This window comes from Homo sapiens, chromosome 10, assembly GCF_000001405.40.
Source record: "Homo sapiens chromosome 10, GRCh38.p14 Primary Assembly".
NCBI lineage: Eukaryota > Metazoa > Chordata > Mammalia > Primates > Hominidae > Homo > Homo sapiens.
In genome coordinates this window covers 102208106-102222987 of record NC_000010.11, presented here as the reverse complement: position 1 = coordinate 102222987, position 14882 = coordinate 102208106, and positions in this window count along the sequence as shown.

The following is a 14882-nucleotide window of genomic DNA, read 5'->3' as shown; positions in this document are numbered from 1 at the left end:
GTGATTGAATGGATGAAATCCTTGGCATGTAAACCTGAGTGACATTATTTATTCTCCAGGATAAATACTCCAAGCCTATCTTTTGTGTGGTCACTGGTTTTGTTTTGTTTTTTTTCCCCAGTAGCCCTCCTGAAAGCCTCAACATAGAGGAAGAAGCGCTAAGCATGGGATGGTGTGAGCAGATGAATAACTGAGCAGGCTTTGGAAGTTTATAGAACACCAATCACTTGTATTACCTGGTGCCAAGTAGCTGCCTTCTGTGTCTATGAGTTCTCAACCCAACTTCTTTCTCTCCCTATTTCCAACTGCCTGTTGGACATCTCTACCGGTATGTTCTGCTAGCATCCTTAGCAATACACACCCCAAACAGAATTTGTTATCTACCTCCAAAATAGGCTGATTTTTCCAGCCACTATTTATATAATTTTTCAGGCTAGAAATTGTGAGGTCAAGTTATATTCTTCTATAGGACACAAGGTCCTGTCATTTCTTCTGGAGGTGGCATGGTCATCAGAATGCCTATATTCAGATTTTATCTCTGCCACTTACTACCTAGGTAACCTTGGCGAAGACATCATCAAACATATCATGGCCTCAGCTTTCTCATCTGTACAATGGAGATAACTACTTCAGAAGGATGTTTATGAGGATCAAATGAAATAATATATGTTAAAGAGCATTGGCGGGGCATGATGGCTTATGCCTGTAATCCTAGCACTTTGGGAGGCCAAGGCAGGAGGATCACTTGAGGCCAGGAGTTCAAGACCAGTCTGGGCAACAGAGTGAGACTCTGTCTCAATTTAAAAATAAATAAATAAAGAGCATTATACAATGTAAAGAGTTGAGTAAGCATCAGTAATTATTTACAAAAAAAGCGACATTTTTACCTTCTTTTTTTGTTTGTTTGTTTGTTTTTTGCGATGGAGTCTCGCTCCTGTTGCACAGGCTGGAGTACAGTGGCGCGATCTCGGCTCACTGCAACCTCCACCTCCCGGCTTCAAGCGATTCTCCTTCCTCAGCCTCCAGAGTAGCTGGGATTACAGGCGTGCGACACCACGCCCGGCTAATTTTTGTATTTTTAGTAGAGACGGGGTTTTGCCATGTTGGCCAGGCTGATCTCGAACTCCCGACCTCAGTTGATCCACACGCCTCGGCCTCCCAAAGTTCTGGGATTACAGGCGTGAGCCACTGTGCCTGGCCTGAAATGTTGTTTTAAGTAGGTCAGATAAAGGGTTAATGTGCATACTACACAAAAATCTTATTCATAGTCTTATCTTCGACCCTTGGTAAATGGCTAAGGATACAAACAAGCTCATTTCATACACTCCAGTGTCTCCAAATCTGCCTCTCATTTGCTGCCAGAAAGGTCTTTCTAAAACACATGAGCTCATGTCATTCCTCATTAAGAACAAAAATAATCCTCAGGACAAAGATCAGATTCCTGAGTTTAGCCCTGACCATTCATTTCCAGCCAAAATCCCACCATCCCTCAGCCCCAGCATTCCGCATTGTAGCCATAATGGACAACTCTACATACTTTTACCCCTTTACCTCTCTACGCATCTTTCCCTCTCCCCCCAGCATTCCGCATTGTAGCCATAATGGACAACTCTACATACTTACCCCTTTACCTCTCTACGCATCTTTCCCTCTCCCCCCATACATCATTTTCTCACCTGGACAAATCTTAACTCTAGCTCTAGCTCTAAAGTCACTTGCCCTGCAAAAGCCTAATATATTTCAGAGTCAGGCCCTTCCTTCTTTGTCTTTCATTCAAAAAACTTTGCCCAAACTGCCTGCCAGTATTGTGCTTCTACTTGTGGAGGACAGTCAGTCATATATTTTCTGTACTATTCTGGCTCCCTCACCCTATCCCAAATGGTCATTTTCACTAGGTCACTCATCCTTGAGGGTAGCACATACTACCTGGCACATAGTGGGCACTCAAAATATGTCTGTTGCTTTGAATTGAGTAGGCACCTAAGAGGAAATACAAACAATAAACATTTTTTTAAAAGACTCAACTTTCTTAGTAATTAAGGAAATGCAAATTAAAGACTGTATGTATAGTGTGGTCCCAATTAATAGCTAAGCAGCAATTAAATACCTAATGCCAGTCAAAGCTTTAGGAAACAGGTGCAATCACACCTGGCTAGTGGCCAAGTAAACTGATATAATCCTTGTAGAAACACACTTAGGCAACACTTAGCAAGAGCTGGTATGCTTTGACCCAGTGTCTCACCTAGGAATTCAACCCAGTGAAATAATCCAAAAGAAAAAAAAATCTGTATGTATTAATATATATATATTTTTACATTCCACTGAACATTTAATAAGTTACATTCAGCTACAACTTTTTTAAAGGGACAAATTATAATGCAAGTATTTATTCAAATGCTGACCATTAAAACACCATCTGAACCATGTCAAATAATACTCATTTCCTTTTGTGAAATGTGTTAATGAGAACTTAAGAATTTCTATAGAAGGCTGAGCATTTTCAACATCCCCAGCCTAGATGAGAAAAGACTGTATTCGCTTAGTGGTGATTCAGGAAATACAATACAAAAGGAGCTTCAACTCCTATGTGGATACAAGGCTGGCATCCACGATGGATGGGCTCCAGAAAACAATCATGCAGTGTTCCCGTTTTGGTCTGAGAACCAAGACACAAAATCTGATCTAGGGTGAAACTACATATAGGACATGGAGAGGACTGGACCAAGGGGCTCACTGTATCTGGGGGACCAAAGAGAAAGTAGTGTGCAGATATTGCTTTGACCTTAAAATAAATGTTAAGTGAGACAAAGAAGAAGCCAGGAGCCTTCTCACAACCTTTCCAGGCCAGCAGCTCCCAAGATATTTACTTCAAGGTAGTTGGTAGGAAATATAAATGTTCACTGGCTCTGACTCAACAATTAAACCATCATAACAGATGCAACGTTGAGGAGAGGCAGCTGTCAAACCACCTATAAACTCGAGTGGGGATCAGCTTGAAAGATGCCTATCTATTATCAGTGTCTGGGAAGACTAAAAAAAAAAAAAAAAAAAAAAAGGCCAGGTGAGGTGGCCCAAGCCTGTAATCCTAGCACTTTGGGAGGCCGAGGCAGGTGGATCACCTGAGGTCAGGAGTTCGAGACCAGCTTGGGCAATGTGGTGAAACCCCATCTCTACTAAAAATACAAAAATCAGCCAGGTGTGGCGGCACATGCCTGTAATCTCAGCTACTCGGGAGGCTGAGGCAGGAGAATCACTTGAACCCGGCAGGTGGAGGCTGCAGTGAGTGGAGATCCCGACAGAGCAAGACTCTGTCCAGCCTAGGCTGGAGTGTAGTGGTGCAACCACGGCTCACTGCAACCTTGACCTCCTGGGCTCAAGCAATCCACCCACTCAAGTAATTAGGATGACAGGCATGTGTCACCACATCAGCTTTTTTTTTTTTTTTTTGAGATAAGTTCTCGCTATGTTGCCAAGGCTGGTCTTGAACTCCTGGCTCAAATAATCCTCCCTCTTTGGCCTCCCAAAGTGCTAGGGTTATAGGGATGAGCCACTGCACCCAGCTGAGACTGTTAATTATATATAAAGAGTACTTGACCAGACACAGAAAATATTAATAAGTGTGGTTTTCTTCCCCATGAAAACCAGCTTTTTAAAAAAATTGAATGTTCCCAATGCAAAGAAATGATAAATGTTCCAGATGATGGATGTTAATTGCCCCAATCTGATCAGTATACATTATAATGTATCAAAACATCACTATTTGCCCCATGAATATTCACAATTTTACTTGTCAATTAAAAAAATGATTAAATACTTTTTAAAAAAAGCAGTGATTTGTAGAGCAGGTTTCTGATGATTGTAGACTGGATTGTAAACCTTTTGTAAATGCTTGCATTTAGTGGCATTTGTTATTTGCAGTAAAGGGCCAATCACAAGTAATACATAAATAGACTATTATTCCTTTATTGTAAGTAGCTTGTTGCAAAATAAATATGTCAGCTATTAATGAAATCATTTCAAAAAGGAAAAAAATTAGCCTTACAAAGTAATATCAACTGATTAAATTTCAACCTACTTTAATTCCCCATCAATGGCCCAATAGCCTGGAACATTCAAAGCAGTTTCTTTGGCTACCAAATTATGTCACCATTATTAAAATGTATATTTTAGGCCAGGTGAGGTGGCTCATGCCTGTATTCCCAACACTTTAGGAGGCCGAGGTGGGTGGATCACTTGAAGTCAGGAGTTCGAGACCAGCCTGGCCAACATGGTGAAACCCCATCTCTACTAAAAATACAAAAATCAGCTGAACGTGGTGGCCTGCTCCTGTGGTCCCAGCTACTCGGGAGGTTGAGGCAGGAGAATTGATTGAACCTGGGAGGCAGATGTTGTAGTGAGCCGAGATAACACCATTGCACTCCAGCCTGGGGGACAGAGTGACACTCCATCTGAAAACAAAACAAAACAAACAAAAAATATATATATATTTGAAAGTCATATTTTAAGTCACATATTAAGTCAGTGGGACTTAAAATAATAGAAAGCTGGAAGGCTAGGGGCGGTGGCTCACGCCTGTAATCCCAGCACTTTGGGAGGCTGAAGTGGGTGGATCATTTGAGGTCAGGAATTTGAGACCAGCTTGGCCAACATGTTGAGACCCTGTCTCTACTAAAAATACAAAAATTAGCCGGGCGTGGTGGTGCGCGCCCATAATCCCAGCGACTCCGGAGGCTGAGGTAGGAGAATTGCTTGAACCTGGGGGGCAGAGGTTGCAATGAGTGGAGATCAAGCCACTGCACTCCAGCCTGGGTGACAGAGTGAGGCTCCATCTCAAAAAAAAAAAAAAAAAAAAGAAAAAAAAGACAGCTAGAAACAACCCACTGATGGATAATTACTGAATTTAACATCGCAACAAACATTTAACTAACATCACAGAACAGCTTGCATCTATCAGAATATGAAGAAACGTGAAACTATGTTTCCAAAATAATGTGAAAGAAAAACAATATTCAAAACCATACCTTTCCTATTACCTCAATTATCTAAAAGCAATAATGTTCCTAAAGACTGAAGTTGAAAAGAAGCACTAAAATGTGAAATCAGTTGATGGTGTGGGTGAGATTATAGGCATAAACTTAGAAGTATTTTAAATTTTCTCTCATGTTGTTTTAAAACTGATGTATACATTTTGGAATGCTTTGCATCCAATAAATAATGCTTTTTAATGGCATAAGAAATGCTCAGAATATTATGTTAAGTTTCAAAATGTAGGATATGAGACGATATGTATAGTATGGTCTCAAATTTGTTGACTAAAAATGTGGAGGCAATTCAGATGGGAAGAATGTTTGTAAAATTTTTGTAGGGAAAAAATATGCAAGAAAACCACATAGAGAAAAAAGATTGGAAGGAAATATACCAAGATGCTAATGGAATTTGTCTCTGAATGGCAGAATTTTAAAATTATTCTTATAATGAGTAAATGTTTAAAAGTAATAATAAATGTATTGAAATATCTTGAAGTCTTTTTTTTTTTACATGTGCTCTGTCACTAATTGACTTCTCTGCTTCCGGTTCCCTACCCTGGGATCCTGCATTCCTCCCAAACTCATCGTTTCCCCGGTATTTTACTGTCTTGTTTTTTTCTTGATATTTCTGGCTGTGCCTTTGTGAGATTTTCTTCCCCTTCTTTCCACCTCTTTAATGCTGGTTCTTCTTCTTCTTCTTTTTTTTTTTTTCTGAGACAGAGTCTCGCTCTGTTGCCCAGCTGGAGTGCAGTGGCACAATCTCGGCTCACTGCAACCTTCACCTCCTGGTTTCAAGTGATTCCCCTACCTCAGCCTCCCGATTAGCTGGGATTACAGGCGCCTGCCACCACGCCCGGCTAATTTTTTGTATTTTTAGTAGAGGTGAGGTTTCACCATGTTAGCCAGGATGGTCTCGATCTCCTGACCTCGTGATCCGCCTGCCTTGGCCTCCCAAAGTGCTGGGATTACAGGCGTGAGCCACCGCGCCCGGCCTGTAATCCAAGCACTTTGGGAGGCCGAGGCGGGAGGATCACCTGAGGTTGGGAGTTTGAGATCAGCCTGACCAACATGGAGAAACCCCGTCTCTACTGAAAATACAAAATTAGCCTGGCGTGGTGGTGCATGCCTGTAATCCCAGCTACTCGGGAGGCTAAGACAGGAGAATAGCTTGAACCCAGGAGGCAGAGGTTGCAGTGAGATGACATCACGCCATTGCACTCCAGCCTGGGCAACAAGAGCAAAACTCTGTCTCAAAAAAAAAAAGAAAAAGAAAGAAAAGAAAAGAATTCCTCTGGTTGTTGTCAGGTTTTTTATTATTAGATTCCAGAATTCCAAAAAAGTAGATTCTGACAGTTTTTGCAGCTTAATCATTGCCCTAATGGAGGGATGGGGTTTTGAAGCTGCCTGTTCTACTTTTGTTTTGTTTTGTTTTGTTTTTTGAGACGAAGTTTCACTCTTGTTGCCCAGGCTGGAGTGCAATGGCACGATCTCAGCTCACCACAACCTCCGCCTCCCAGGTTCAAGCTATTCTTCTACCTCAGCCTCCCGAGTAGCTGGGATTACAGGCATGCGCCACACACCCGGCTAATTTTGTATTTTTAGTAGAGATGGGATTTCTCCATGTTGGTCAGGCTGGTCTCAAACTCCCGACCTCAGGTGATCCACCCGCGTCGGCCTCCCAAAGTGCTAGGATTACAGGCGTGAACCACTGCGCCCGGCCTGTTCTACCATTTTTGATGACCCTCAAAACTTATTCTGAAGCCCTGTCCTAAGCCTCTCCCCTCTCCCATAGCTAGGAAAAACCTGTCTCTTCTGAATACTTTAGAATTATCCTTTCCTTGTCCAGAAAGTCTTCTGAAATTAATCAGAAGAAAGGAAAAATGGTGTTTTTTCCATTACTAACATATATGTGCACACACACACACGCATACACGTGAAATTGAAGTGAATGGTAAAAAAAACTTAAAGAGAATAGGCCAGGTGCGGTGGCTCACACCTGTAATCCCAGCACTTTGGGAGGCGGAGGTGGGCAGATCATCTGAGGTCAGGAGTTCGAGACCAGCCAGGCCAACATGGTGAAACTCCGTCTCTACTAAAAATACCAAAAGTAGCCAGGCGTGGTGGAGGGCACCTGTAATCCCAGCTACTTGGGAGGCTGAGGAAGGAGAATCGCCTGAACCCAGGAGGCAGAGTTTGTAGTGAGCCGAGACTGCGCCATTTGCACTCCAGCCTAGGCAACAAGAGCAAAATTCTGTCCCCCCAAAAAAAAATTTTTTTGAAGAAGAAGAGGTAAACTGATAAAATTAACTGTCTCCCACTGCTGTCCTCAGTGTTCTCCTTCCAGAGGCACTGCAATGACCTGTCTGCTACATACCCTTTCTAATATCATCTATGCATAAAAGGGTATGTTTGTATATAACTTCTTAAGTGGTAGCATGTTTCCATATATTTTTTTTTTTTTTGAGACAGAGTCTCGCTCAGTTGCCCAGCCTGGAGTGCAGTGGCGTGATCTTGGCTCACTGCAAGCTCCGCCTCCCGGGTTCACGCCATTCTCCTGCCTCAGCCTCCCAAGTAGCTGGGACTACAGGCGCCTGCCACCACGCCCGGCTAATTTTTTTGTATTTTTAGTAGAGATGGGGTTTCGCCGTGTTAGCCAGGATGGTCTCAATCTCCTGACCTCGTGATCCACCTGTCTTGGCCTCCTAAAGTGCTGGGATTACAGGCGTGAGCCACCGTGCCCGGCCTTCATATTTTTTTTTAATTAAAATTTTTTTGGGGGCTGGGCGTGGTGGCTCACGCCTGTAATCCCAGCAATTTGGGGGGCTGAGGCAGGCAGATTACTTGAGTCCAGGAGTTCGAGACCAGCCTGGCCAACATGGCAAGACCTGTCTCTACAAAAATATAAAAATTAGCCAAGCATAGTGGTGCTTGCCTGTAGTCCCAGCTAGTTGGGAGGCTGAGGCAGGAGGATCATTTGAGTCCAGGATGTAGAGATGGCAGTGAGCCAAGATCATGCCATTGCACTCCAGCTTGGGTGACAGAGTGAGACCTTGTCTTGAAAAAAGAAAAAAGAAAATTTTTTAAAATTTCATTTTTAATTTTTGTGGGTACATAGTAAGCATATATTTTTATGGGGTACATGAAATGTTTCAATACAAGCATGCAATGTGAAATAAGTACCTCATGGAACATGGGTATTCATCCCCTCAAGCATTTATCCTTTGAGTTACTAACAATCTAATTACTCTCTTTATGTTATTTTAAAATATGCAATTAAGTTATTATTGACTATAGGCACCCTGTTGTACTATCAAATAATAGGTCTTATTCATTCTTTCTGTTTTGTTGTACTGATGAACCATCACCACCTCCCCTAGCCAGCCCCTCACTACCCTTCCCAGCCTCTGATAACCACCATTCTACTCTTTATGTCCACGAGTTCAATTGTTTTGTTCTCACTTATACCACAAATAAGTGAGAACATGTGATGTTTGTCTTTCTGTGCATGGCTTATTTCACTTAACATAATGATCTCCCATTCCATTCATGTTGTTGCAAATGACAGGACCTTATTCTTTTTTATGACTGAATAGTACTCCATTGTATATATGTACCACATTTTCTTTATTCATTCATCTGTTGATGGATACTTAGGTTGCTTGCAAATCTTGGCTATTATAAAGAGTGCTGCAACAAACATAGGAGTGCAGATATCGCCTTTTTTTTTTTGAGACGGAGTCTCACTGTCTCCCAGGCTGGAGTGCAGTCATGAGATCTTTGCTCACTGCAACCTCCACCTCCCAGGTTCAAGCAATTCTCCCTGCCTCAGCCTGCCAAGTAGCGGGGATTGCAGGCATCCACCACCACGCCTGGCTAATTTTTGTATTTTTAGTAGAGACAGGGTTTCACCATGTTGGCCAGGCTGGTCTCAAACTCCTGACCTCAGGTGATCCACCTGTCTTGGCCTCCCAAAGCGCTAGGATTATAGGCATGAGCCACCGCGCCTGGTGCAGATATCTTTGATACACTGATTTCCTTTCTTTCAGGTACCCAGCAGTGGGATTGCTGGGTCATATGGTAGCTCAATTTTTAGTGTTTTGAGGAACCTTCAAACTGTTCCCCATAGTGGTTGTACTAATTTACATTCCCACCAACAGTGGTAAAGTGGTTCCCTTTTCTCCACATCCTCACCAGCATTTGTTATTGCCTGTATTTGTTATGGCCTTACCGATATAAGCCATTTCAACTGGGGTGAGATTATATCTCATTGTAGTTTTGATTTGCATTTCTCTGATGATCAGTGATGTTGAGCACCTTTTCATGTGGCTGTCTGCCATTTGTATGTCTTAATTTGAGAAGTGTGTATTCAAATCTTTTGCCATTTTTTGATCAGATTATTGGATTTTTTTCCCTATAGAGTTGTTGGAGCTTCATATATATTCTGGTTATTATTCCCTTGTCACCTGGGTAGTTCGAAAATATTTTATCCCATTCTGTAAGTTGTCTCTTAACTTTGTTGAGTGTATTCTTTGCTGTGCAAAAGCCTTTTAACTTGACATTATCCCATTTGTCCATTTTTGCTTTGGTTGCCTGTGCTTCTGGGGTTGCTATTTAAGAAATTTTTGCCCAGTTCAATGTCCTGGATATTTTTCCCAATGTTTTCTTGTAGTAGTTTCATAGTTTGAGGTATTAGACTTAAGTTTTTAATCCATTTTAATTTGATTTTTATATATGGTGAGAGATACAGGTCTAGTTTCCTTCTTCTGCATATGGATATTCAGTTTTTTCAGCACCGTTTGTTGAAGAGACTGTCTTTTCCCAGTGTATGTTCTTGGCACCTTTGTCGAAAATGGGTTCACTGTAGGTGTGTGGGTTTCCATATTATTTTATACCTTGCTTTTTTTTTTCTTAAATAGGTATGAGATACCATTATGTTGCCTAGGCTTATCTTCAACTCCTGGGCTCAAGCAATCCTCCTGCTTCAGCCTCCTAAAGTGTTGGGATTACAGGTATGAGCCATTGTACCCAGACTATACCTTGCTTTTTAAATTTGTCTCAGAGAGTGTACCATATTAGTACATTTTTTGAATAGCTGTGTACTATTTCATTACATGAATGTACCATATCCTATAACTTAAGAAAAAGAAAAAGAAGGCCCAGCGCGGTGGCTCACACCTGTAATCCCAGCACTTTGGGAGGCCGAGGCAAGCGGATCATGAGGTCAGGAGGTCGAGACCATCCTGGCTAGCACGGTGAAACCCTGTCTCTACGAAAAATACAAAAAATTAGCTGGGCATGGTGGCGGGTGCCTGTAGTCCCAGCTACTCAGGAGGCTGAGGCAGGAGAATGGCGTGAACCCAGGAGGTGGAGCTTGCAGTGAGTTGAGATCGTGCCACTGCACTCCAGCCTGGGTGACAGAACAAGACTCCGTCTCAAAAATAAATAAATAAAAAGGGCAAATGACTTGAATAAACATTTTTTCAAAGAAGATATACAACTGGCCAATAAGCACAATGTGTTTAACATCCTTAGTCTAGGGAAATACAAATCAAAAACACAGTGAGAGGTCATTTTATGCCTACTAGGATAGCTATTTTTTTTCTTAAAGGAAAAAGACAAATGTTAGCAAAGATGTGGAGAAATTGGAGCCCTTCTGCATTGTTGGTGGAAATGTAAATGGTGCAACTGCTATCGAAAACAGTCTGATGGTTCCCCAAAGAGCTCAACATAGAATTACCTTATGACCCAGCAACTTTACTCCTATGTATATACCCAAAAGAATTAAAAACAAAGATTCAGTCAGATACTTGTATGTGAATATTCATAGCATCTTTGCTCACAATAGCCAAAAAGTGGAAACAACAGAAGTCTCCATCACCAGATGACTGGATAAACCAAATGTGGTGTATACTCAACAACAGAATATTACTCAGCCATACAAAGGGATGAATGAAGCTCTGATACATGTTACAACATGGATAAACCTTGAAAACATTATTCCAAGTGAAAGAAGTCAAACATAAAAGGACAAATATTGTATGATTCCAGTTACATGAAATATCTAGAATAGGCAAATTCACATATACCGAAAGTAGACCACAGCTTGCAAGTGGTTAGTGCAAGGGGTGAATAGAGAGTTATTGCCTAATAAGTACAGAGTTTCTGTTTGAGGTGATTAAAAGTTTTGAAACTAGATAGCAGTGATGATTGTACAACATTGTGAATGTAACTGATGCACTGAATTGTACACTTAAAATGATAAATTTTATGTTTTATATATATTTTGCCACAATTTTTAAATTAGTAATGTAGGCCAGGTGCAGTGGCTCACGCCTGTAATCCCAGCAGTTTGGGAGGCCAAGGCGGGCTGATCACCTGAGGTGAGGGGTTCGAGACCAGCCTGGCCAACATGGTGAAACCCCGTCTCTACTAAAAGTACAAAAAATTAGCCAGGCATGGTGGTATGCATCAATAGTCCCAGCTACTTCAGAGGCTAAGGCAGGAGTATCCTCTGAGCCTGGGCAGTTGAGGCTTCAGGGAGCCATGACCACACCACTGAACTCCAGCCTAGGCAACAAAATGAGAACTTGTCTCAAAAAAGAAATGGGATTAATAATAAAATGAACATCCACATACTCTATCTATATTCACCAATTGTTAGCATTTGCCACATTTGCTTTATTGCTCTTTTCCACCACCAGTTACATTCCAGCTGTTACAATGAATGAGGCAAACTAGAGCTCCAAAACATTGTAGGTGAGATTTGCAAAATAGTATAGACACTTGGGAAATAGTTTGGCAGTGTCTTATGAAAGTAACAATACTTTATTTACCATATGACCCAGCAATCCTACTCTCAGGTATTTACCCAAGAACAAAAGAGAACACATGCTTACTTAAAGACTTGGTATGCAAATTTTTACGGCAGCATTATTCATAATAGGGCCAAACTGGAAACAAACCAAATATCCATCAACTGGTAAGTGAATGAACAATTTCTTTATTATGGAATACTACTCTGTACTAAAAAGAAATGAGACATTGATATGTACAACAATGTGGCTGAATCTCAAAAACGTTATGCTAAGTGAAAGTAGTCAAGCATAAAAAAATATATCGTGGGATTCCATTTATAAGAAATTCTAGGAAAAGCAAAACTACAGTGTCAGAAAGCAGGTCAGTGGTTGCCTAGAGCTGTTAGGTGAGGGGATTGAATTGTAATAGGGCAGGAGGTAACTTTTTAGGGTGATGGAAACATTTTATATCTTAATTGTAGTGACAGTTGCATGACAGTATACGATTGCCAACATCTATCAAACTGTAAAGTTAAAATGGATGAATTTTACCTTATGAAAACTATACTTCCCTGAGCATGGTGGCTCATGTCTATAATCCCAGCACTTTGGGAGGCCAAGGCGGGCAGATCACCTGAGGTCGGGAGTTTGATACCAGCCTGACCAATAAAGGAGAAACCCTGTCTCTATTAAAAATACAAAAATTAGCCAGGAATGGTGGCAGGTGCCTGTAATCCCAGCTACTAGGGAGGCTGAGGCAGAAGAATCGCTTGAACCTGGGAGGTGGAGGTTGCGGTGAGCCGAGATCATTCTATTGCACTCCAGCCTGGGCAACAAGAGCGAAACTCCATCTCAAAAAAAAAAGAAAGAAAACTATACCTCACCAGGTGCGGTGGCTAATGCCTGTTGGGAGGCCAACACAGGTGGACTGCTTGAGTCCAGGAGGTCAAGGCTGCAGTGAGCCAAGATCATGCCACTGCACTCCAGCCTGGGTGACACAGTGAGACTCTGTCTCAAAAAAAGAGAAAAAAGAAAGAAAGGAAAAAAAAGGATAGTACACACATACCTCAATAGGTTTGGGAGTAATTAAAGGGAAGAATTAGGCAACTCAATAAGAATTGACACTCTCCAAAATATATAACTTGTATTTGTACAAGGAAAAACATATCAGTGTCTGTAATTGCATAGACTCTCTTCAAGTCCATGGAAGAAGTTGGTAAGAGGGGCATCTGTGGAGAGGGAAACTTGGGGGTTGGGAAAAGTGGCAGGCCTTTTGACTTTCTTAGAATTTTTCTGGGTGCACATATTACTTATGTAAGGAATAAATAAAGTAAAACAGGTATAAAAATAAACTGAACTTTGAATTTTTTAAAAAGAGAGAGGAGAGGTCAGGTGCAGTGGCTCACGCCTGTAATCCCAGCACTTTGGGAGGCCAAGGCAGGCAGATCATCAGGTCAGGAGTTCAAGACCAGCTTGACCAACATGCTGAAAACCCATCTCTACTAAAAATACAAAAAAATTAGCTGAGCGTGGTGGTGCGTGCCTGTAATCCCAGCTACTCAGGAGGCTGAGGCAGGAGAATCGTTTGAACCTAAGAAGCAGAGGTTGCAGTGAGCCGAGACTGCACCACTGTATTCCAGCCTGGGTGACACAGCGAGACTCCATCTCAAAAAAAAGAGAGAGGAGAAATGTGACCATCCTTTTAGACTCAAATTTGGTGAAGTGGGTCATACTTATTTATTTACTTTTGAGACAGAGTTTCACTCTTTTCACCCAGGCTGGAGTGCAATGGTGCGATCTCAGCTCACTGCAACTTACGCCTCCCAGGTTCAAGCGATTCTCCTGTCTCAGCCTCCTGAGTAGCTGGGACTACATGCATGCGCCACCATGCCCGGCTAATTTTCTATTTTTAGTAGAGACGGGGTTTCTCCATGTTGGTCAGGCTGGTCTCGAACTCCCGACCAGGTGATCCGCCTGCCTCGGCCTCCCAAAGTGCTGGGATTACAGGCGTGAGCCACCATGCCCAGCTCGTATTTATTATATGAGCATATTGGTACTTTTTAAATCTAGTAATAATAATAATAGCTAACATTTATTGAGTTTTGCCTTTAAATAAAAAAAAAAAAAGGAGACTGTATTTTACTGGCCACATCCATTCGAGAGCTTGGCATGAAAGCCTGGGCTGAAACAGCTGGCAGGCCTCAGATGATGGGTCCTGGGCCCAAGAGATAAGGATCATGTTATGGGAGTTACACACCAATCAGGGTTTTATGGATTGAATCCAAGGGAAATAAACCAGGCAGGAATCCAGGGTTTCCAGTGTGACCCGGGAAAATCTCAAATGTGTGGGTCACTCCTCTACCACAGACACCCTGCCTCCTGGCAGAGATGTAGGTTTGATATGTGTAGCTGGGAGAGCCAGAGTGGGAGAGAGGCCTTTGGGGAAAACAAGGAAAGTGGGGAAGTAGTATGGAGGAGATAAGTGAGGCAGGGCCTGTAATGGAGAAATATACTCTTTTTGCTCCATACGTGGCTTCAGGGAGGGAACAGGTTCAGGAGGACAGCTGATGGATGTAACAGGGTATTGCTTCAAAAACCCTGAAGTCGGCACACATCCACAGCTGGGTGTTCCCATTTATCTCAGGATCACTGGTTTGGAGGTTGAGCCATTATAAGTCACTGTCTGGATCCTGACACTTCACCCAGTTGATTAGACCTGTTTTCTGGGATCATTTCCAAGAACCTCTATTTCCACTGTTTCTCGGGACACTTGAGTATTCTGAGTCTTCTGTGGAAACTAGCCAAACACTTCCAACCTCTCTCATACTTGAAGAAGAGTCAATTCTGTCCCCAACATAGGAAAACAGACGAATTAGTGCATTAAGTACCTGCTATCAGCCACTTTGCAAATTGAGCCTATACTGGACTTCACTATGATTACTTGCTATGAGTGTGAATCTTGTGTTTTTTCTAAGCTATGTGTCTTGTCTCCCCCAGTTTATGAGAACTTTTCTGAGAGCCAGGGGCCAAGTTTGCCAAACCATCCAAACTACCAAAACCT